This window comes from Homo sapiens, chromosome 16 (assembly GCF_000001405.40).
Source record: "Homo sapiens chromosome 16, GRCh38.p14 Primary Assembly".
NCBI classification, from domain to species: Eukaryota; Metazoa; Chordata; class Mammalia; order Primates; family Hominidae; genus Homo; species Homo sapiens.
Window position 1 is genome coordinate 75,387,777 of NC_000016.10, and position 24,217 is coordinate 75,411,993.

The 24,217-nt window shown below is 43.0% G+C and overlaps 1 protein-coding gene and 1 non-coding gene across 9 annotated transcripts in view; both read right to left on the reverse strand.

Annotated features, from left to right (window-relative positions):
• CFDP1 (craniofacial development protein 1) overlaps window positions 1–24,217 on the reverse strand; it is a 139,794-nt gene that overhangs the window by 94,067 nt on the left and 21,510 nt on the right. For 4 of the 8 annotated variants that reach the window (NM_006324.3, XM_011522814.3, XM_047433504.1 and 1 more), the window contains exons 4-5: window positions 24,049–24,176; window positions 7,314–7,433 (exon numbers count right to left, since the gene is read on the reverse strand). In NM_006324.3, the coding sequence (NP_006315.1) occupies window positions 7,314–7,433; window positions 24,049–24,176 (248 nt within the window). Of the gene's footprint in view, window positions 1–3,600; window positions 3,733–7,313; window positions 7,434–24,048; window positions 24,177–24,217 lie in introns of those variants that run through there. The other 4 variants (XR_007064846.1, XR_007064847.1, XR_007064845.1 and 1 more) reach the window with 2 other exon arrangements.
• On the reverse strand, window positions 21,556–21,690 carry LOC124900382 (small nucleolar RNA SNORA76). The gene has a single exon (XR_007065229.1). It is a non-coding gene; the product is annotated as a small nucleolar RNA SNORA76 (small nucleolar RNA).

Sequence of the window (24,217 nt, forward strand, 5' to 3'; positions counted from 1 at the left end):
TGTTGCTGCTGACAGGTATCAATGTACAAACATACCTGGAACTTATTTTTTAAAATGTGCTAGACCTTCACTTTCTTGAGACAGGAATGAAACAAAAGTATAGAAAATGGTTATATTAATGAGGAAAAGCTTACAAAGGAAAAATGGGGAAACAGCCCTCTCACTTTCTTCAAAAATAACAAAATAGCTTTCAAAGAGTCCCACATCAGTTATGAAATTGAGGAGAGACTCTTTTAACAAAAAAACATCTATCAGGAGAATAAGAGCGAGCAGTGGCAATGGCAAAGTGGCTGAGAGCCCAGGCTTTGGTCTCAAATAGATTTGGGCTGGAATCCGAGTTCGACCAATCATCAACTATGTAACTTCAACAAGTTAAGGACGCCTCTCTGAACCTCAGTGTCCTGATCTGTGAAATGGGCACAAAGTTAGTGCCTACTCTTGGAATGTTTATGTGGGTTAAGTGAAATAATACATGTAAAACATTTAGCATTGTGCCTTAAATGTGGTGAAGCAGCCAATAAATAGACATTATTTATTCTTTATAAAAGGGTAAAGAATATTTAACCTGTAGTCTGAGAAGATAGTATGTTTGGTATTTAATCTAGAGAACAAATTGTTTCCAAAATGAAATTAACATGGTCATCAAAGGGAAACATGTTACCCTAGAGTGGGAAAAGCAGTTGCCTACAGGAACCATGCAGGTAATATAAATGAGTAAAGCCACTGAGTAGGGACCACAAAAGGGCAAACCCCATCTACTCTGTGCCACCCCAGTGTTACCATAGATGAAGAGGGAAGGTAGTGGCAGAAATTTTCATTTCTCAAGAAAAGCCAGTAATCCAGATTTTTATGTCAACTTTCTAGAGTTTTAAATATTGGCCAAATGAGGAGACTGGGAGAGATCACACCATTAACTGCTCAGACAGGAAGACTCTGCTGAACAAACCAAAGATTGCTGGTTACTGACTACATACACTGAATTCTGGCAAACTACAATGGTCAGCATTACTGTCTTCTCAGTCCTTAGTCTGAGTCTTTTATCTTCAGGATGGTACTGTGAGGGATTCTGTGTCTTCTATCTTTGGGGAAAACACTGCTACACTGACATCACCTATGATGTTGTTTGATACTCAACATTAAGGCCTTTTTTTTTTTTTTCCACTCCATAGATCAAGAAAACAAGGCTAAAACTACATGGGAAAATGATGTCTTTCCCTCTTAAGTTATATTGCTTTAGGTCATTCTCAATCTATAAAGAGGCAGCTAAACAGTAGGCCCTTAATTAAACAAGTCAATGCGTAAGGGTAGGATTACAAATTTTAATGACACTAATGGTGGCCCGCTGTTGGAATAAATAGTAAATGTTGGCTTGAAAATAGGTAGCAAATGTGGGGTTGAAGCCTGGCCAGCCAGATACCAGCAAATGCTGAGAAAACTGGATGCAAGTAGCTAACAGTACTGGTAGTAAGGACTGGGGAGTGAGGGAAGAGGCGGATCAAGAGCATGGAATGACAAGACCATGAGAATTTAGACACATTAAGCTTTGTACTTTACTACCAAATGTAGGAGAGTAATTTTTGTAGTTTGATTCCTGCCTCTAATTAAAGTAGGGCTTATTCCATTCCCAAAACATAAACTTTGGCTTTTTATAGCCTAAGCAGTGTGCTATTTTAAACACATGGAGGAAATGCATTTTTAGTTACAAACATTTGCTCCTCTAAATCTGTTCTTATTTCTGAATCTGTGCTTATCTTATCAAAAGATGTGGGACAGGATGTTTTACTCTCCTGCTCTGGTTTTCCTGTATTGCTTAAATCTGTTTAGAGAGAGGAAAATAAACAAATAAAGTGTTTCTGCAAGACAATTTCTATAAACTGAAGCAGCTCCCAAAATGAAAAAAGTCTGTGGGAAAAAAACTTGACTGTGTTAATTTTCTTTTAAAATATTAGATTATTCCTATAGATCCTTCCCTTGAAAAGACTTTCTATACTCTGCAAATGGAGTCTGCTGACAGATACTAATATTTGCACGGATAAAATGTGCCCACTCAGATACCCCAGATCAGCTGAATTCCTCTTGGACCCGTCTTTTCCCAAGCACAATTGTAACTGTAAAGCTTTTTGAGATGCATTTCATAAAAATGAGCATACCAACCTTGAAAGTCATTCTGGATCTACTCAGAAATCCAAGGTTCACAGTATCATAATTAAACACGTACATTTTCACGTACAACTCTAAGGACTTTTACTCAGGCACTTGGCAGACATATCCTTGTAATGTGTTATGTTCCATCAGGGCTTTCAAAGAAACTGATTTTGGTCAAATTTCACTTTACCCTGTTTATAAGGGAGTCAGCATTCTTTACTGAAAAATATTTCACTTGTATAGCTCCCAAGGTAGCTCCTGGTTGGCCCCTAGATTCCCTCTATACCCTTTCCCACATGGCTCTCTGCTCTAGGAGCTGCTCTGTGAGGACAGCCTGATGAAGACTCTCCTTAAACCAAACTTTAGTCAGACTCCACTGAGCCCTCTTCTCAACTAAGGCTTGAAATTGGCCCCTGCCCTTGCTGGCCTGCACAGCGCAGTTTTGGAAAGAATTCTGTGCTAAGTCAGTGTAGAGAGAATCCCCTACCCTTGATATCTGATCACACTACCCTGCCTTGAGCAAGAATCACCCTCTCCTTGATGTCTCCTCTTAGTAATTTTCTATCCACTGACCACCTGCCTCCCGATTCTGCTAAAAATCCCCAGCTGTCTTTGCTGTATTCGGAGTTGAGCACTCTCTCTCTCCCCAGAGATAGTCTTGAGACCCACTGCAATAGTTTTGGATAAAGTGTTCTCACAGTTTTAACAAGTGTCAGAATATTCTTTAATAAGCCTCAGAGGGCAATGGAGTACCCTAAGAGGCTGCAGAGAGAGAAGAAACAGATCTGGGTATTTATTCCCTTGGCTTCCCTCTGGGGGAAGTCCATCACTTAACAGAAGGTCTCAGCTCCTGTCAGGAGGTCCATTCCACCTAACCCTTTCTTCCCCTGCCATTAACTGCTCCCACTCTTGCCCTTTCAGGCCTAGGGGTAGTAATAGAGTCTCATTATTACCAGCCCCAGGGAGGCCACACCAATATTTGTATCCCTGTGGTTTTCCACCACTTTGTGAGAAAGTATCATATTTGAGAATGCCATCTGTTTCCTGCTGGATCTCCCTAATGCAGATATCATCTCAGCAGATTTCTTATTCTAAAAAGCATATTAGCTGTAAGAAAGGCAGGCATGGATATGACAAGCAGTGAGATTTCTACATGAGTGACTTAAGCTGATTTTAAGCTGCCATTTCTCCATTCTTTAGTTATTTTCATAATTATAGTAGCAAAGAGTATTTTCTGAAACATACAGTTTCCAAGTAGAATCTCTAAGCATCAACAGGGATTATTTTAAGAAGAAATATCCAAGGAAACTAGAAGTAAAAACTGTGTTAGCTGAAACTAACCAGAAACCTAAGAAGAGCTTCTTTGCCTTTATTTCCATCTGGTGGTTATATCCAGAGGTAACTTCATAGCAATACTTTCAATAAGTGCAAGAAACACTAATAATACCACATACAAACCTGGCAACTCTTAATCACCTGCTGAAGGCTAATTCCATACGTTGTCTAGAGCAGTATTTTGTCAAATTCAGGTTGCAGTTGATTGTGAAATCAATTCAGCAGGTCATAACAGTTTTTTAAATGACACATCTATACACAATAATGTAAAACAGAAAATCAGAGCATATTATACATAGTAAGGGTAAATATTTCACCAAATTTTAATCTCACCTTTTTACATACCTATTTTTATAGGTGTACAAGGGCATAATGTAAAATGTATTCCTTATGATGGGCGGCAGTCAAGAAAGTTTGAAAGCTACTGGTCTGGGTGGCCAGGTGTGGTGGCTCACACCTGTAATGCCAGCACTTTGGGAGGCTGAGGCAGGTGGCCGAGGTCAGGAGTTCAAGACCAGCCTGGACAACATGGTGAAACCCCGTCTCTACTAAAAATACAAAAATCAGCCAGGTGTGGTGGCGGGCGCCTGTAATCCCAGCTACTCGGGAGGCTGAGGCAGGGAACTGCTTGAACCCAGGAGGTGGAGCTTGCAGTGAGCCGAGATCGCGCCACTGCACTCCAGCCTGGACGACAGAGCAAGACTCCGTCTCAAAAAAATAAAAAATAAATAAATAAATAAATAAAGCTACTGGTCTGAAGAGAACTCCCTGCAAACAATACAATAAATGTAAAGCCAAAAACATGTTGTTTCAGCCTATAGCTTCAAATTTTAAAAATCCTAATCTTCATTAAAAATACAGCTTGTTGGATGGGTGCAGTGGCTCATGCCTGTAATGCCAGCACTTTGGGAGGCTGAAGGGGGTGGATCACGAAGTCAGGAGTTCAAGACTAGCCTGGCCAACATAGTGAAACCCCATCTCTACTAAAAATACAAAAAATTAGCCAGGCGTGGCAGCACGTGCCTGTAATCCCAGCTACTCTGGAGGCTGACGCAGGAGAATGGCTTGAACCCAGGAGGCAAAGGTTGCAGTGAGCCAAGATTGCACCACTGCACTCCAGCCCAGGAAACAGTGCGAGACTCCAACTTGAAAACAAAAACAAAACAAAGCAACAAAAAAAAACAGCTTGTTACCAGGTATAAGCATATAAGTAACTGAAATAAAAATTCTATAAAACATTATTTATTCTTTATTCTTTTGAGACAAGGTCTCCCTCTGTCGCCCAGGCGGGAGTGCAGTGGTGCAATCTCAGCTCACTTCGACCTCTGCCTCCTGGGTTCAAGCGATTCTGCTGCCTCAGCCTCCTAGGTAGCTGGGATTAAGGGCATGTGCCACCAAGCCCAGCTAATTTTTGCATTTTGAGTAGGCATGGGGTTTCACCATGTTGGCCAGGCTGGAAAACAGTATTTACTCCTACTACATGTGATGTGCTCTGATATTTTCTCTTAATTGATTATTCCAAACCACAGCTTACAAAGTACTTGCTTAGAGTATTAACAGGGCCAGGTCTGTAGAATTTTGTTCTACAGCTGCCTTCATCTGATTTTATGTCATTTCTACTGTGGTAGCAAGCAGTCAAATCCTCTTCCTCCATAGGTTTCTGTGTAACTACTACATGACTTCTGCTCAGTGGGAGAGAAATATCTTGAGTATGAAGTAGATAAAGATGTAACAGATGAGGAAGTAGCCCCATCCACATGTCCTGGCATTCAGTGCCATGATACATGCTGAGAGCAGCATCTTACAGCAAGCACGTGCAGCTCACAGCCTGAGGACAGAGGGCAAGGAATGTGTGGAAGCAGCTCTGAGCCAATGTCCGATGGGCACTGGAGGCTAAACATCCCACTCTCCTCAGCCCTCACTGTGTTCTTCCCAATCTCTAAGTTTCCCAGCAGGAATGAGTGCCAGTCACCACCAGCAGTCACCTGCTTGATAACTCAACCTTTACTGGCTTCTTTCCTCTCTTGTACCTCTCTATTGGGGCTTCCTGGAATCACCTCTCACATAAATGACATGCACTTAAACCTTTATCTCAGGGTCTATTTCTGGGTAAATGCAACCTAAGAGAGTATACTAGTATAACTCTGTTGTTAAGAGCCAGGGCTGCAAAGATGGGGAAGGCCCACCCTAAAAAAGCTCACACTTTTTTAGGAAAATCAACACTCTTTTTAAAAATGTGGGGCCGGGGGTGGATCATGAGGTCAGGAGATCGAGACCATCCTGGCTAACAAGGTGAAACCCCGTCTCTACTAAAAATACAAAAAATTAGCCGGGCGCGGTGGCGGGCGCCTGTAGTCCCAGCTACTCGGGAGGCTGAGGCAGGAGAAGGGCGTGAACCCGGGAAGCGGAGCTTGCAGTGAGCCGAGATTGCGCCACTGCAGTCCGCAGTCCGGCCTGGGCGACAGAGCGAGACTCCGTCGCAAAAAAAAAAAAAAAAAAAAAAAAAAAAAAAAAAAAGTGGGGCCGGGCCCGGTGGCTCACGCCTGTAATCCTAGCACTTTGGGAAGCCAAGGAGGGCAGATCACGAGGTCAGGAGATCAAGACCATCCTGGCTAACACAGTGAAACCTCGTCTCTACTAAAAATACAAAAGATTAGACGGGCGTGTTGGCACCTGTAGTCCCAGCTACTCAGGAGGCTGAGGCAGAAGAATGACATGAACCCGGGAGGCGGAGCTTGCAGTGAGCCGAGATTGCGCCACTGCACTGCAGCCTGGGTGACAGAGCGAGACTCCACCTCAAAAAAAAAATGTGAAACAAAACTTTACTGCTCATAGCAATGACAGGTATGCTCCAGGAGGGAAGGAAGAGGGGACAATATCTGACTGAAGGGCCACAGAAGCCACTGTAGGAGACTATGCAGAACTCCCCACAGGAGTCAGGTGGGTAGTCAGGGCTATCCATGGTATGGGTCTATGTTCACTTCCCTGTGGCAACAGTCTTAAGCCTCTCTGATTTACTGTAATACTTTACTTCTCACATTTAGGTTAAGAAAAGAATTTTTACTTCTTCCAAAAAGAAAGAATTCTAGCCTTCAGCTAAAAATAACTCAAGTAATATGAAAAATATGAAGGGAGGAAAACCATTAAGTTCCTGACAATGTGTTAAGAAAACTATTTGTAAATCATCTTTGATCTTTTTATGTTCCTCTAAGATCACAGAGGATGGGAGTGAGTGTTCATCGCAAATCTTCATGAAAAGTTCTGCAGAAGGCTGATATTTTCATTTGAAAAGTATTATTTTTAAATGTAAAATTTACACGTTCAGCTTTGTGTTCAATACTATAAACTAGGACTTCTTTTAGGCTGGCAACAAATAAGAAAGCTACAACTAATTTTCTTCGCTTTTTTTTTTTTTTTTTTTTTTTAAGAGACAGGATCTCTCTGTCACCCAGGCTGGAGTGCAGTGGCACAATCACGGCTCACTGCAGCCTCAACCTTCTGGGCTCAAGGGATCCTCCTGCCTCAGCCTCCACAGTAGCTAGGACAGAGGTGCAAGCCACCATGCCCAGCTAATTTTTTTTTTTTTAAGAGACAGGGTCTTACTGTATTGCCCAGGCTGGTCACAAACTCCTGGGTTCAAGCAATCCTCCTGAGAAAGTTATGGCTAATTTTCCTTTGCATCTTCCATTCTGGTAAATATTGCAGCAAAGGCAAAGCAGCATCATAATTCTCTCTCTCAGGCAAGGAGTCTGATCTGCAGCGAAAGTAGGTATTTGCACTGAAAGCTTCTCCAACGTGCCAAGTACATCAGGGAGTGAGACTCAAATACTCACCCTGACCCGGCAGGGAGTGATGGCAGAGCTGAAGGAACATTAGCCTGTGGTTTTTCTTTCTCATTCTGCTTGAAGAAGGATTTGGCCTCTTTAGATGTAGCATCCACTTCCTTAGTTACCCTGTGCCAAGGAAAAAGACATCAAGCTTACAAGAAGAATAAAGAGAAAGAAACAAGCTAGAAAAGGGAATAAAGACAACTAGAAAAAGATCCACTCGGCTTCCAATAAATTCTGGACGCTCAGCATTATGATAAAAGTTTACTATAACTTTCAATAAAGACATTTGCCCAGCCGGGCGTGGTGACTCACGCCTGTACTCCCAGCACTTTGGGAGGCCGAGGCAGGCGGATCACAAGGTCAAGAGATCGAAACTATCCTGGCCAACATGGTGAAATCCCGTCTCTATTAAAAATATAAAAATTAGCTGGGCGTGGTGGCGGGCGCCTGTAGTCCCAGCTACTCGGGAGGCTGAGGCAGCAGAATCACTTGAACCCGGGAGGCAGAGGTTGCAGTGAGCCGAGATCACGCCATTGCACTCCAGCCTGGGCAACAGCACGAGACACCGTCTCAAAAAAATAAAAAAAATAAAAAAACATTTTCCCTCACTAAAATTAACAAATGAAACAACAATGTGTATAAATTTTATCACCCTATAACAACCCAAAGATGAAACAAAATCCCCTAAAACTGGCTAAATTAGCAATAATTTGGGAATGGACGAAAGCAACATGACTGAGAATTTTGTCTAATTTCAAATCTGAAACAATTATCTTCACTAAAACTGAGTCCTAAAGGTTCAAATAAAGGTGTTTATGGTACCTGAGAATTCAGATAAAGAGAGAAGGAGAAATGTTTAATCCCTGCCTAGGCTTTCCAGGTTAACGAAAACACCTGAGGAATGTTGTTTAAATGCAGTCCATCTCCCCTCCATGACTTCTCAGCATGAAACACACTGCAGCAGTCAATACTAAATCTCCATGCTGGTTTACTGATGTGAAGGCTGAAAAAGGCCCTCACACTGCACCCCACATGCAGATTAGCACTCAGCCTTGAAAGCTGAGATGGGGAGATGGAATACTGGGAATATAGGTTATAGAATTGGGAAATAATGCCTAGGTTGGCACTATTTCAAGGAGAAAAACAAGAGTTAAAAAAAAAAATTTGAGGAGACCAGGCACAGTGGCCCATGCCTGTAATCCCAGCACTTTGGGAGGCCAAGGCAGGCGGACCACGAAGTCATGAGTTTGAGACCAGCCTGGCCAACATGGTGAAACCCTGTCTCTACTAAAAATACAAAAAATTAGCCAGGCATAGTGGCAGGCGCCTGTAATCACAGCTACTAGGGAGGCTGAGGCAGGAGAATTGCCTGAACCCAGGAGGTGGAGGTTGCAGTGAGCTCAGACCACGCCACTGCACTTCAGCCTGGGCAACAGAGCGAGACTCTGTCTCAAAAATAAATAAATAAATTGAGAAGACTCTGCAGAAGGCTCCTGTTTTATATCCAAAACAACCCAAAGATGAAACAAAAACTGGCTAAATTAGCAATAATTTGGGAATGGACGAAAGCAACATGACTGAGAATTTTGTCTAACTTCAAATCTGAAAAAATTATCTTCACTAAAACTGAGTCCTAAAGGCTCAAATAAAGGTATTTATGGTACCTGAGAATTCAGATAAAGAGAGAAAGAGAAATGTTTAATCCCTGCCCAGGCTTTCCAGGTTAACAAAAACACCTGAGGAATTTTGTTTAAATGCAGTCTATTATGGCCGGCCTCAGTGGCCTCTTTTGTAGTCCTCTGAGAAGTTTTTTCTTGTTTTTTGTTTGTTTGTTTGTTTTCATTTGAGATGGAGTCTCGCTCTGTCGCCTAGGCTGGAGTGCAGTGGCGCAATCTCGGCTCACTGCAACCTCTGCCTCCTGGGTTCATGCCATTCTCCTGCCTCAGCCTCCCAAGCAGCTGGGACTACGGGTGCCCGCCACCACGCCCAGCTAATTTTTTTGTATTTTTAGTAGAGATGGGGTTTCACCGTGTTAGCCAGGATGGTCTTGATCTCCTGACCTTGTGATCTGCCCGCCTTGGCCTCCCAAAGTGCTGGGATTACAGGCGTGAGCCACTGCGCCCAGCGTTTTTTTGTTTTAAAACCAGGCCAGGTACAGTGGCTCATGCCTGTAATCCCAGCATTTTGGGAGGCCAAAGTGGGCAGATCATTTGAGGTCAGGAGTTCGAGACCAGCCTGGCCAACATGATGAAACCCCATCTCTACTAAAAATACAAAAGTTAACTGAGTGTGGTGGTGCATGCCTGTAACTCCAGCTACTTAGGAGGCTGAATCACTTGAACCTGGGAGGCAGAGGTTGCAGTGAGCCAAGATAGCATCACTGCACTCCAGCCCTGACAACAGAGCAAGACTCCGTCTCAAAAAGAAAACAACAGGCCGGGGGCAGTGGCTCACGCCTGTAATCCCAGCACTTTGGGAGACTGAGGCGGGCAGATTATGAGGTCAGGAGTTCGAGACCAGCCAGGCCAACATGGTGAAACCCTGTCTCTACTAAAAAAAGTAAAAAAAATTAGCCGGGCATAGTGGCAGGTACACCTGTATCCTAGCTACTCGGGAGGCTGAGGCAGGAGAACCTCATGAACCCAGAAGGTGGAGGCTGCAGTCAGCCGAGATCCCGCCACTGCACTCCAGCCTGGGCGACAGCGAGACTCCGTCTCAAAAAATAAATAAATAAATAAAAATAAAAGAACAAAACAAAACAAATCCTTCCCTACTCCACTGATGCTGAGCTTGGATACACGACTTGCTACAAAGGCCAATGAAGTATTAGCTGATCTGAGAGGAACAGAAGCTTAAACATGTTTGTGCTGTTTCTCTTGCCCCTTGAATTCATCCCTTGAGTCATAAGGAGAATACACCTCAACTGGCTGCTGGTCCAAGATGGCAGAAAGACACATGCTGTAGACCTGAACCCAACAAACAAGCAGCTTGGAGCTTAGCTGAGCCGAGTCTAAATCACTCAATCTCAGATACTCAGAGGCAAAAGGCAACAAGTAAATGCTTATCATTGTACATCACTGAGTTTTGGAATGGTGTGCTACACAGCACTACTGTAGCAAGAGCTGACTGACACATTTACATTTTGTGAGTAAGAAAACTGAAATATAAGGTTGCGTTACTTATTCAAGGCTATCCTGAGATTAAGCAGCAATGCTATAGAGAACCCTATAGCAGACAGGATATTCCAAAGATGGTTGCCACAAATTTCCCATCCCCACATGCTCTTCCAGAACCCTGATACTACCCCAGTTAGAGGGGGAGTCTGTGTCATCACCCCTTGAAAGTGAATGGGCCTTCATGGCTGTCTCAACTCAAAGAGTTCTGTGGAAGTGGCACAACATGACTTCCACAGGCTAGCAAATAAAAGATAATACAGCTTCCACCTGGCATGCTTCCACCTGGCATGCTCTGTCTGTCTGTCTGTCCCTGTGTCTGTCTCTCTCAAGAATGCACCTTTGAAACTCCAAGTTACCACAAAAGAAGTCTGGCTACTCTGCAGCCACTATGTTGGAGAGATCATATGGGAAGATCACACAGAAACAGACGTCTGAGAAGCCTGTACCAACCCCTGGGTGTTTGAGCCTTCCCAGCTCTGGCATCAGACGTGGGAGTAAGAAAACCTGTGAAGGCTGGGCGTGGTGGTCATGCCTGTAATCCCAGCACTTTGGGAGGCTGAGGCGGGCAGATCACGAGGTCAGGAGATTGAGACCACCCTGGCTAACACGGTGAAACCCCGTCTCTACTAAAAAATACAAAAAAAATTAGCCAGGCATGGTGGCGGGCGCCTGTAGTCCCAGCTACTCGGGAGGCTGAGGCAGGAGAATAGTGGGAACCCGGGAGGTGGAGCTTGCAGTGAGCCGAAATCATGCCACTGCACTTCAGCCTGGGAGACAGAGCGAGACTCCGTCTCAAAAAAAAAAAAAAAAAAAAAAAGAAAACCTGTGAAGTGGTTCCACACTTAGCCACTGTCTGATTACAACTGTACAAGAGACCCTGAGTAAGAACTGCCTAGCTGAGCCCAGCCACCCCTGGAACCAAGAGAAATTATAATAAAACAATTATTTTTTAAAGCCACTAAATTTTGAGGTGCTTTCTTACACTGTTGTAAAAATAACCAAAATAAACCCACATCCAAATCTCAGGCTTAATGCAGGGTTCTGGAGTACTAAACTAGAAAGGGTACCTTTAAATTTCCTTGCTCTGGGTAGAATCTGGGGCAGACCAGCTAATGAAGAACAAGTAGAAACTGCCACTTACATATAGTAATCTGAACACATGCTTTATTCCAGTCCTGCCAAAACCCTACTAAATAGTGGCAAATAAATTTAAAAAGATGAAACTACACAAGGATAATGAGAAGAAGTATAACAGAAAAGGGATGCCAACAGAATTTTCTTCTTCTTTTTTTTTGTTTTAAAGACAGAGTCTCACCATGTTGCCTGGGCTGGATTCAAACTCCTGGGCTCAAGTGGTCCTCCTGCCTTGGCCTCCCAGTGCTGGGATTACAGGCATGAGCCACTGCGCCCAGCCCAAATTTTCTGACAGTAGAAAGCAGCCAGGTGCAGTAGCTCGGGCCTGTAATTCCAGCACTTTGGGAGGCCAAGGGCGGGAGGATTACTTGAGCCCTGGGCAACATGGCAAGACCCTAACTCTACAAAAAATTTTTTAAAATCGGCTGGGCGTGGTGGCTCACGCCTGTAACCCCAGCATTTTGGGAGGCCAAGGCAGGCGGATCACCTGAGGTTGGGAGTTCGAGACCAGCCTGATCAACATGGAGAAACCCCATCTCTATCAAAAATACAAAATTAGCCAGTGGTGGTGGCACATGCCTGTAATCCCAGCTGCTTGGGAGGCTGAGGCAGCAGAATCGCTTGAACCCAGGAGGTGGAGGTTGCGGTGAGCCGAGATCGTGCCATTGCACTCCAGCCTGGGCAACAAGAGCAAAACTCCATCTCAAAAAAAAAAAAAAAAAAAGGAAAAAAAAAATCAGCCAGGCATCATGGCGTGCACCTGTAGTCCTAGATGCTTGGGAGGCTGAAGCAGAAGGATCGCTTGAAGCCAGGAGTTCAAGGTTACAGTGAGCTATTATCGTGGAACTATACAGCCTAGGCAACAGAGTGAGACCCTGTCTCAAAACAAAAAACAAAACAAAACAAAAAAGAAGGTAGAAAGCAAGTAGACAAGTAATAACTGGCTTTGGTTTTTGTTTTCTCTGATCTCCTAAGCCTACAGCCATGTGGAATGGCCAAAAACAGGCAAGCCAATGTGTACTAAAGTACCCTAGAAAGGCTCATTAAATTGAGACACCAGGAACCTTTCGAGGTAGAGGAAAGGAATAGGGCTAAAACCAGTTGGAATTATCCATCAGGAGCAGCTAGGCCCCAGATCCCCTTCAGCAGCACCTCATACCACAGGCTACTGCTCTACCCCATCCCCAATCCAGCAGAACCCATTACTCTGGAGAAATGAAAACCACGGAAGTTCCAGACTCAAAAGGCATGGCTGAAGTCCATTCTGAGAAAAGAGGAATTATATGAAAATCTATGTATTCATTCTTCCTTTGCCAGAGCAACCCTGAAGCCTAGGTGTTCTGTACAACTGAGTTACAAGATGGAGTGCTACGAAACTCATATTGGACTTTATACCAGTAAGAAATAATGTACTGTATTATGCTACTGAGTTGCTGAGTTTGTTACCTCAGCCTAGACTGCCCTGGCCTGTCATATCAATTCTACTAATATGAATCTCATAAAAACAGAAAATAGGGGGAAGTTGTCAACAATAACAGAAAATGTCCTAGAAGTGAAGGATAGGCTTCCATAAAAAAGAGCCACAGAACACTGGATGCAGCTAATTTAAAAGCATCCAGCTTGACACAGTGGCTCACACCTGTAATCCCAGCACTTTGGGAGGCCGAGGTGGGCAGATAGTGAGGTCAGGAGTTCCAGACCAGCCTGGCAACATGGTGAAACCCTGTCTCTATTAAGAAATACAAAAATTGGCTGGGCGCAGTGGCTCACGCATGTAATCCCAGCACTTTGGGAGGCCGAGGTGGGTGGATCATGAGGTCAGGAAATCAAGACCATGCTGGCTAATACAGTGAAACCCCGTCTCTACTAAAAATACAAAATATTAGCCAGGCTTGGTGGCGAGCGCCTGTAGTCCCTGCTACTCGGGAGGCTGAGGCAGGAGAATGGCGTGAACCAGGGAGATGGAGCTTGCAGTGAGCCAAGATTGCACCACTGCACTCCACCCTGGGCAACAAAGTTAAGACTCCGTCTCAAAAAAAAAAAAAAAAAAAAAATTAGCTGGGCGTGGTAGCAGGTGCCTGTAATCCCAGCTGCTTGGGAGACTGAGCCAGGAGATTCGTTTGAACCCAGGAGGCAGAGGTTTCAGTGAGCTGAGATAGCGCCACTACACTCCAGTCTGGGCGACAAGGTGCGACTCCGTCTCAGAAAAATAAAAAAAAGATTCACATCAAGGCAAATCACTGTGAAGTTTCAGAATGCTGGTGATAGAGAAGATGAAATCAAATGGCCTAAGTGATAGCTTAAGGAAAAGTAGCCTCTAGGTAATGCATGTTTGGTTTTGTTTTTTACTACCTTCATGGAAATGACAAGCCTGGAAAGAGTCACCTGAGACAATTAGGTCAACATTTGCTGAAAAGCAACCTAGATCCAAGCACTGTTAGATGTTGAACATATAAAAAAAAATATGGCATGGCCTTTGCTCTTAAGGAGCTCACAGTTCAGCAGAACAGCCAACCATGAAAGCAAGTCATTGTAATACATGATATATAGTAAGTGGCATAAAAGCAGCATGGAAAAAGTATAAACTGTGGGAGTATCTCTCAAAATTTCTTAGTGCCAAAGTCCTATCTATATTCACTAGGAAACACTGGTATATTTATCTCAGGAACTTTAGTAATTGACACCAAGTAATATTACAGATTACTCTTCATTGACAGTATGCCTAGAACAACTCCACTTTTAACAAGCAATAAGGGATTCAAGTATCAAAATATCTTCAAGCAGGAGAACAGTTAAATTATAGACCACCTCTAACGCACAAGAGGGAACTCTGACAGGAAAAGGCCTATTATTAGTAATAGTTAATTCAAGTGTTCTCAACAGAAATTCCATTTTAACTTTATTTTCACTTGCTCAGAACTTCCTGAAAGTCTTTAATTGGGCAGAAACTTTCCATGACTGGCTTTTTCCAAAAGGTGAATCATTTAGGAAAGTCTGAGCTAACTGGCTCAGCTGGTTATGTGATAGGGCAGAATACAAAATACTATATTCCCCCATTCCCCTAGGTTAATAAGCTAAACATTTTTCAAGTAGGGACAAAAACAAAATGAAATGATCAAAGCCCAAAATTTAACATTAAAATACAGTTAGAAAACTGAAGACTAACTTTGTGCTAACACTACCTTACACTTAGACCTACAAATTCCTTCCTGTCATCACCAGCTCTTCTCACATTTCTTGAAGATGTAGTAATGCTCTTAACTTGATACAGAGAGAAAAAGGAGAATAATGACATGAAGAAATTAAAAGATATGCTCAAATCCATACAACAAATTTGTATCTGTTATCAATGAAAATTCAGATCTCGTAAGTCCCCTTATGAGAATTCCTTATAATGCCTAAATTTAAGTATAAATAAATTAAGTTTAAAAAAATCCTGTCAACATGCCCACTATTAACAGGGTTTTTGTTTTCTTTAGGGGAAGGGAGTTACAGAACTTTCACTTTTCATGTTATATATATTATATATCTCTGTAACATGATTTTTAAAGTAATAAGCATGTATCATTTTGAAATATAAAATGTATGTGACAGTATGTAATTCATATGAAAAAAGGGCTTCCATACTCATTTCTTTGTTTTGTTTTTTATAGACATGGTGCTGCCCTCTTCTGACAAATTGAGAAAACAGCAGACGCCCTGAATACCCATCAAGGACATTTAAAATTACCATCCACTTGTTTTCAAAAATGAAATAGGAAATTTGCAGCACACAACTATAATAGTATTTACTAACAAGTCCACAACACTTAATTTGACCGAAAATTTATGACTTTTTTTGAGACAGGGTCTCACTCTGTCACCCAGGCTGGAGTTCAGTGGCACGATCTCAGCACACAGCAACCTCTGCCTCCTGGTCTCAAGGGACACTCCTACTTCAGCCTCCTGAGTAGCTGGGACTACAGACACACACCACAATGACTGGCTAATTTTTATATTTTTTGTAGAAATGGAGTTTCTCCATGTTGCCCAGGCTGGTCTTCAACTCCAGTACTCAAGCAGTCCTCCTGCCTCAGCCTCCCAAAGTGCCGGGATTACAGGCATGTGCCACTGCGCCTGGCCTAATGACTTCTTACAGCAACAGTTATTTACCAGCTTTTTGTACACTCTATGTGAGGGCCACTAGTGAAGTTATAAATAAATCTTTCTTAGTCTGCATAACACATAGAAAATAATTCAAGCCAAAAAAGACTTCAAAAAACTTTTAAACCTATATTCCTAACGGTACATTAACATACTTTCTATATTATTTTTATAGGACTTTCAAACTATTAAAAGTTTATACTGTCAGCGTTCTGCTGGTCCCCTACTGGATGTACAACTCAACAGCTTCCAGAATAATTTCAGGCAGTAAAATATATTACTAATTCATATCATCAATAATTATTTATGGGGCCAGGCATGGTGGCTCACACCTGTAATCCCAGCACTTTGGGAGGCCGAAGTGGGCGTATCATTTGAGGTCAGGAGTTGGAGACCAGCCTGGCCAACATGATGAAACCCTGTCTTTACTAAAAATAAAAAACTTGGCCGGGTGCAGTGGCAGGTGCCTGTAATCCCAGCTACTCGGGAGGCTAAGGCAGGAGAATCGCTTGAACCCAGGAGGCGGAGGTTGCAGTGAGCTGAGATCGCACCACTGCACTCCAGCCTGGGCAACAGAGTAAGACCGTGTCTCAAAATAATAATAGTAATTATTATTATTATTTATGGAACCCGAAAACAACTAATTACCAAGGAAAAGGTTGCCTTACAATGAAGAATTCTGGAAGGTACTGTCATTTTTCTTTTTTTTTTTTTGAGACGGAGTCTTGCTCTGTTGCCCAGGCTGGAGTGCAGTGGCACGATCTCGGCTCACTGCAAGCTCCGCCTCCCGGGTTCACGCCATTGTCCTGCCTCAGCCTCCTACAGGCACCCGCCACTGCACCCAGCTAATTTTTTGTATTTTTAGTAGAGAACGGGTTTCACCGTGTTAGCCAGGATGGTCTCGATCTCCTGACCCCATGATCCGCCTGCCTCGGCCTCCCAAAGTGCTGGGAATACAGGCATGAGCCACCGCGCCCGGCCGCAAAGGTACTGTCTTAAGATACTGGTGGCCTAACTTATCCCCATCAATGCTGAGTCTCTTGATGGATGAGAAGCACCATCAATGTAGTATTTTTGTCTAACATAATTAATGTGAAGCTCATCATAAACAATGCAGCAATCCAAATTGAGGGACATTATGCAATACAAATGGCCTGGACTCTTAAAAAAAAAAAAGCTTAAAACCAATGCTGTGAAATACAGAAAAGGCATGAAAAACAGTTCTAAGTACAAGGAGTTTAAAAAGACCAAATGCAAAATCAACAGCAACAACAAAAGACCAATTATGGTTTTCATCTTAGATTGGATCTTAGAGGTGGCTCCATAGCACAACGGATAGCGCGCTGGACTTCTAGACTGGATTTTAGATTGAACAAGAAATACAGCTATAAAGTACATTATTGGGATAACTGGGGAAAAACTGAATGGAATCATTTGTATATAGTGCTATTCAAGTTTTGACTGCAAAACTACCTGTTATTGGTCCAAGATGAGATGGGCACAGAAATTGTGAGTATTTAGAAACTTGTTCAGCAATTTGACAATGTCACAATACTCAAGACATGAGCAGTGGGCCCTTCCATTAAACAGAGTATAAATTCAGTTAGGCCAGATTTGCAAGGTGAGTCACATGTGATATGAATTATCAGTCACACGCAGTAGGACATTACAATGTGTGTGATACTTCAGAATTATCTTGTCAACTAAAGCCCAAAAATGTAATAAAATGTAAGCATTTATTTTTATAACTTATTTTTACAATCATTTTAATTGTTACTCAATTGTAATTTTTAAAATTTATACAGGTGCCAGGCATGATGACTCATGTCTGTAATCCCAACACTTTGGGAGGCCAAGCAGGCAGATGCTTGAGCCCAGGAGTTTGACACCAGGCTGGATAAACCCATCTATACAAAAAACACAAGAGGCCTGGTGTGGTGGCTCATGCCTGTAATCCTAGCACTTTGGGAGGCTGAGGCGGGCAGATCATATGAGGTCAGGAGTTCCAGACCAGCCTGACCAACAAGGTGAAACCTCGTCTCTACTAAAAATACAAAAAAAATTTAGCCAGGCATGGTGGTGCGTGCCTGTAGTCCAGCTACTCAGGAAGCTGAGGCAGGAGAACTGCTTGAACCAAGGAGGTAAAGTTGCAGTGAGCTGAGATTGTGTCATTGCACTCCAGCCTGGGTGACAGAGTGAGACTCCATCTCAAAAAAAAAAAAAAAACAAATGAGCCAGGCGTGGTGGTATGCACCTGCAGTCCTAGCTGCTAAGGAGGCTGAGGTGAGAGGACTGCCTGAGCCCAGGAGGCAGGGACTGCAGTGAGCCAAGACTGCGCCACTGCACTCCAGCCTGGGTGACAGAGCAAAACCCCGTCTCCAAAAAAAAAAAGAAAAAAGAAAAAAAAAATTTATGTAGATGGTCAGACATGGTGGCTCACACCTGTAATCCCAGCACTTTGGGAGGCCAAAGCAGGAGGATCACTTGAGGACAAGAGGTCAGGACCACCTTGGGCAACACAGCAAGACCCCATCTCTACAAAAAAATAAAATAGGCCAGGTGCAGTGGCTCATACCTGTAATCCCAACACTTTGGGAGGCTAAGGCAGGAGGATCACTTGAGCCCAGGAGTTCAAGACCAGCCTAAGCAACATAGGGAGACCTCGTCTCTAAAAAAATAAAAACGAATTAGCTAGGCATGGGTGACCAATGCCTATATTCCCAGGTATCAGGGAGGCTGAGGTGAAAGGATTTCTTCAGCCTGGGAGATCATGGCTGTAGTGGGCCATGAGGGAGCCACTACACTCCAGCCTGGGCAACAGAGTGAGACCCTGTCTCAAAAAAATTAAATAAATAAAATATTAAAAATAAACAAACAAATAGGCAGGGTGCGGTGGCTCATACCTGTAATCCCAGCACTTTGGGAGGCCAAGGTGGGTGGGTCATGAGGTCACAAGTTCAATATCAGCCCAGCCAACATGGTGAAACCCCATCTCTACTCAAAATATAAAAAATAGCTGGGCGTGGTGGCACGCACCTGTAATCCCAGCTACTCGGGAGGCTGAGGCAGGAGAATGGTCTGAACCCCGGAGGCATAGGTTGTGATGAGCCGAGATTGCGCCACTGCACTCCAGGCTGGGTTGATAGAGCGAGACTCCAACTCAAAAAATAAAAATAAATAAAATAAATAAAAATAAACAAATAGGCCAGGCATGGTAACTCATGCCTGTAATCCCAGCACTTTGGGAGGCCGAGGCGGGAGCATCACTTGAGGTCAGGAGTTTGAAATCAGCCTGGTCAACATGGTGACCATCTCTACTAAAAATACAAAAATTAGCCAGGCGTGGTGGCAGATGCCTGTAATCCCAACTACTCGAGAGACTGAGGCAGGAGAATCGCCTGAACCTGGGAGGCGGAGGTTGCAGTGAGCTGAGATCACGCCACTGTACTCCAGCTTGGGTGACAGAGACTCCATCTCAAATAAACAAATAAACAAGCAAACAAATAAATGAAATAAAATAATTAGCTAGGTGTGGTGATGTTCACTTGGGAGGCTGTGGTGGGAGGCTGACGTGGGAGGATCACTTGAGCCCATGAGTTCAAGGTTACAGTAATCAATGATTGCACAACCACACTCCAACCCGAGTGACAGAGTGAGTTAGCTCCTGTCTCTCAAAAACAAAAAATAATCCTAGTACTTCCAGGCAAGAAAGCAATTTAACATGTTTTTCAGTAGCAAATAAATTATAAGGGTAAAAATGCAAGTTAGAAACCTAGAAAAATAGTGTTTCTACAAATTAACACATTTCATAGAATGTTTTGAATTGTATTTTCTATTAAAAAAATATTCACACATGGCTGGGTGTGGTGGCTCATACTTGTAATCCCAGCACTTTGGTGGGCCAAGGCAGCAGGATCACTTGAGTCCAGGAGGTTCAAGAGCAGCCTGGGCAACACAGTGAGATGACATTGCTACAAAAAAATTTTAAAAGTTAGATGGGCAAGGTGGCATATGCCTGTAGCTCCAGTTACTCAGGAGGCTGAGGTCGGGGGAAATCAACTGAGCCTCGTAGGTTGGTTGAGGCTAGCGTGAATGACAGAGCAAGACCCTGTCTCAAAAAAAAAAAAAAAAAAGAAAAAAAAGAATTCATGTATAGGAAATTTGGGCTTCCAGAATTCCTTTTTCCTTTCACTAAAAAATAACTGTAATTATAACTTGACGGGATAAATCATTGAAAATGGCTATAATGAAGCATTTAATACAAACTTTGAAAACACAGTATCACAGGCAGGGTGCGGTGGCTCACACCTGCAATCCAAGCACTTTGGGAGGTGAAGGCAGGAGGATCACCTCAGCCCAGAAGTTCGAGACCAGCCTAGGCAAAATGGTGAAACCCATCTCTACAAAAAATACAAAAATTAGCCAAGCGTGGTGTATGCCTATAGTCCCACGCACTCGGCAGGCTGAGGTGGGAGAATGACTTGAGTCCTGGAGGTTGAGGCTGTAGTGAGCTGAGATTGTGTCACTGCACCACAGCCTGGGTGACAAAGAGAGACTCTGTCTCAAAAAAGGAAGGAAGGAAGGAAGGGAGAGAGGGAGGGAGGGAGGGAAGGAGGAGAGAGAAAGAACGCACGCACAGTACATCTTTTATCCAGATTCATTGCAGATAAAGGCAAAAAATGAAAACCCTGAACTAAATGAAACTTTTTTAAAATGTATACTTCTGATCCCATGAAAATATCTCTGTGTTACACCCTGGCAGATCCCATGTTAAAAAAAAAATCTGTGTGAAGGATGGAAGGGTGGTCAGAAGGCAGGAAGGAGAAAACCAACAAAGAAATAATTTACCTACAAATGATCCCCCAGGAGGAGTACAGTCATCAATACAACTTAGATTAAGAAGAAAGAAACAAGCTCTTTCACCACAATAAAAACTTCAAATATTAATATAAACAGTGGGCCAGGTGCAGTGGCTCACACTGTAATTGCAGCACTTTGGGAGGCTGAGGAGGGTGGATCATAAGGTCAAGATTTCAAGACCAGCCTGGCCAAAATGGTGAAATCCCATATCTACTAAAAATACAAAAATTAGCTGGCACGCTGGCAGGCACCTGTAATCCCAGCCACTCGGGAGCCTGAGGCAGGAGAATCACTTGAACCAGAAGGCGGAGGTTGCAGAGAGCCGAGATCATGCCACTGTACTCTAGCCTCGGCAACAGATCAAGACCCTGTCTCAAAATAATAATAATAAAAAAAAATAGTGTTGATTCAAAGTGTGTGTCTGACATTTAATACTGAGAATTGATATTTTACTCAGCTTTTTGTTTTTTTGTTTTGAGACAGAGTCTCGCTCTGTTGCCCAGGCTGGAGTGCAGTGGTACGATCTCGGCTCACTGCAACCTCTGCCTACTGGATTCAAGTGATTCTCCTGCTTCAGCCTCCCAAGTAGCTAGGATTACAGACGTGCACCACCACACCTGGCTAATTTTTTTTATTTTTAGTAGAGACGGGGTTTCATCATGTTGTTCAGGCTGGTCTCGAACTCCTAACCTCAAGCAATCCACCCACCTTCGCCTCCCAGAGTGCTGGGATTACAGGCATGAGCCACCGTGCCAGGCCAGTTTTTTGTTTTAATAACAGAATAAAAGGTAACAGTGATTCCCTGTATATTAACACTTCCAATGAACAGCCTGTATAATTACAAAATTCTTTTCTTTTTCCTGTCTGCGGTTCATTTTGACCACATGCATTGAAATGTAATGTTATGTCTATTAAATCTTTTTTTCCCCCACACCTGTCGATAGAGGTTAAAAGGCCCACACTTGGAAGGGGCAGGTGGCCCCAGTTATACACACACACAGTGCTGTGGTGCTGCAGCCTGAGCCCCGCCGCCACAAAGAGAGGCAGTAGGGTATCTGTCGAATCTTAGTAAAAATTTAGTTATCTTTTATATTTGTTTTTCTAGTAATTCCTTTTTATTGTGTTTTTAGAAAAGTACTGGTCTGCTATAGATTGAAAATTTTAAGTTGGGGTCCTTCACTATAGATAGTAATCTGCTCTAACATTAACTTTACTGAATATGAGAGTTATATCGTGCTACAATGGAGAATGCCCTTGGTCGTAGGAGACACGTGCTAAAGTATTAAAGGCTGATGTGTCACAATGTCTACAAGTAATTCTCAAATGGTTCAGCCAAAACAAAAGAAAAACCCAGATATAGATGGTGAGAGAGAGGCAATACATTAACCAGTGGTGAATCTGGATCATAGGTATGTAGGTGTTTGTTGTAATACTATTCTTGCAACATTTCTATAAGTGTGACATTTTTCAGAAGAAGAAGTTAGAGAGAAAATTTTAATAATAAAAAGTTTTGTTCCATACCATTTGTAAAAGTGATAATGGCCAGGCAGAGTAGTACATCCCTGAAGTCCCAGTTACTTAGGAGGCCAAGGCTGGAGGATCACTTGAGCCCAGGTGTTCAAGACCAGCCTAGGCAACACAGCAAGACCCTTTCTCAAAAAAAAAAAAAAAAAAAAAAAAAAAAAAACCCAAAACAAAAAAACTGATAGTGTCAATTCTTTTCCCTAAATATAGCTTCACTAGATAAATAATTGTTGAAAACATTATTTTTAAGAATAACAATTTTAGGGAAAATTGTATTTTCAGAGAGCCTACAGGTCTAATTAATTACTGCCAATGAAAATCAATGTAACTGCCTATAAAATTATTGATTGGCACTTCCTCTGTTCTCATGCAGCTCTAAATCACAAATCTGCTATTTTCACATAATAAAATTGAAATAAATGGGGGAAGGGAAATTACAGGGATGTGGCTCTTACCTAACAGCCAGGAGACTAACTTGCTCAAGGCATTAAGCCCTTACTTAACCTATGGTAAATAAACCTTATTAATCAATCAGAAAAATATTATTAAGCTAAGAAAATAATATTGAGGCCGGGGACAGTGGCTCATGCCTGTAATCTCAGCACTTTGTGAGGCCAAGGCAGGCGGATCACGAGGTCAGGAGTTCAAGACCAGTCTGGCCAACATGGTGAAACCCTGTCTCTACTAAAACTACAAAAAAAAAGTCCAGGCACGGTGGATCACACCTGTAATCCCAGCACTTTGGGAGGCCGAGGCGGGCGGATCACGAGGTCAGGAGATCGAGACCATCCCGGCTAACATGGTGAAACCCCGTCTCTACTAAAAATATTAAAAAATTAGCCGGGCATGGTGGTGAGCACCTGTAGTCCCAGCTACTCGGGAGGCTGAGACAGGAGAATGGCGTGAACCCAGGAGGTGGAGCTTGCAGTGAGCCGAGACTGTGCCACTGCACTCCAGCCTGGGCGACAGAGCAAGACTCTGTCTCAAAAAAAAAAAAAAAAAAGAAAAAAAAAGGCCAGGAGTGGCAGCTCATGCCTGTAATCCTAGCACTTTGGGAGGCCAAGGCGGGTGGATCACCTGAGGTCAGGAGTTCAAGACCAGCCTGGCCAACATGGCGAAACCCCATCTCTACTAAAAACACAAAAATAACAGGGCATGGTTGCACAGGCTTGCAATCCCATCTACTTGGGAGGCTGAGGAAGGAGAATCACTTGAACCTGGGAGGTGGAGGTCGCAATGAGCCGAGATCGCACCCTGTACTCCAGCCTGCACAACGGGAGCGAGACTCCATCTAAAAAAAAACAAAAACAAAACAAAAAAACTACAAAAGAATTAGCTGGGTATGGTGGCGTGTGCCTGTAATCCCAGCTACTCGGGAGGCTGAAGTAGGAGAATTGCTTGAACTGGGACCCGGGAGGCAGAGGTTGCAGGGAGCCGAGATCACGCCACTGCATTCCATCCTGGGCTACAGAGCAAGACTCCGTCTCAGAAAAAGAAAATAATATTGAAACCAAATTTCTCTCCTTGTATTTTCAATTATTATCTGATTTCTGAGACTTCAATGGGGCTCATATTGCAGTCAAGGAGAGTAATAAAGGGAGACATGACTTACCAAAAGTCACAAAACATGGCAATGATCAAGTGGAACAAAATACTTAACTCATATTCCCTTGCTTCTGTTCAGCTGAGCACTTCGTAAAGCTCAAAAACTACACTGCTATATGTGAAAGGACCTTTCTCATACTCCCTGGTAATTTATAGAGCCAGTTTTCCTTGAGTTCAAGTATAACTCTCCCAAAATATTATGATGGATTGAAAAGAGGATAGATGGCTAACACCAGTTAGAGAGAGACGCTCATTTTTGAAAATGCTAGTTTCAAAGTTTTTGAAGGTTCTCTTACCTTACTTCTTCACCAGCAAAATCAAACACCTTGGTGATTTTAACTTTTTCTGTTTCTTTAGGTTTCTCTAGCTCTTCTGCTTTTACCAACAATTTACTTGAACTTGTCTCTTCAGTCTCCTCTCCTTTCTATAAAAAAAACAAGAAATGTAATGTTTCACCAAAAGATG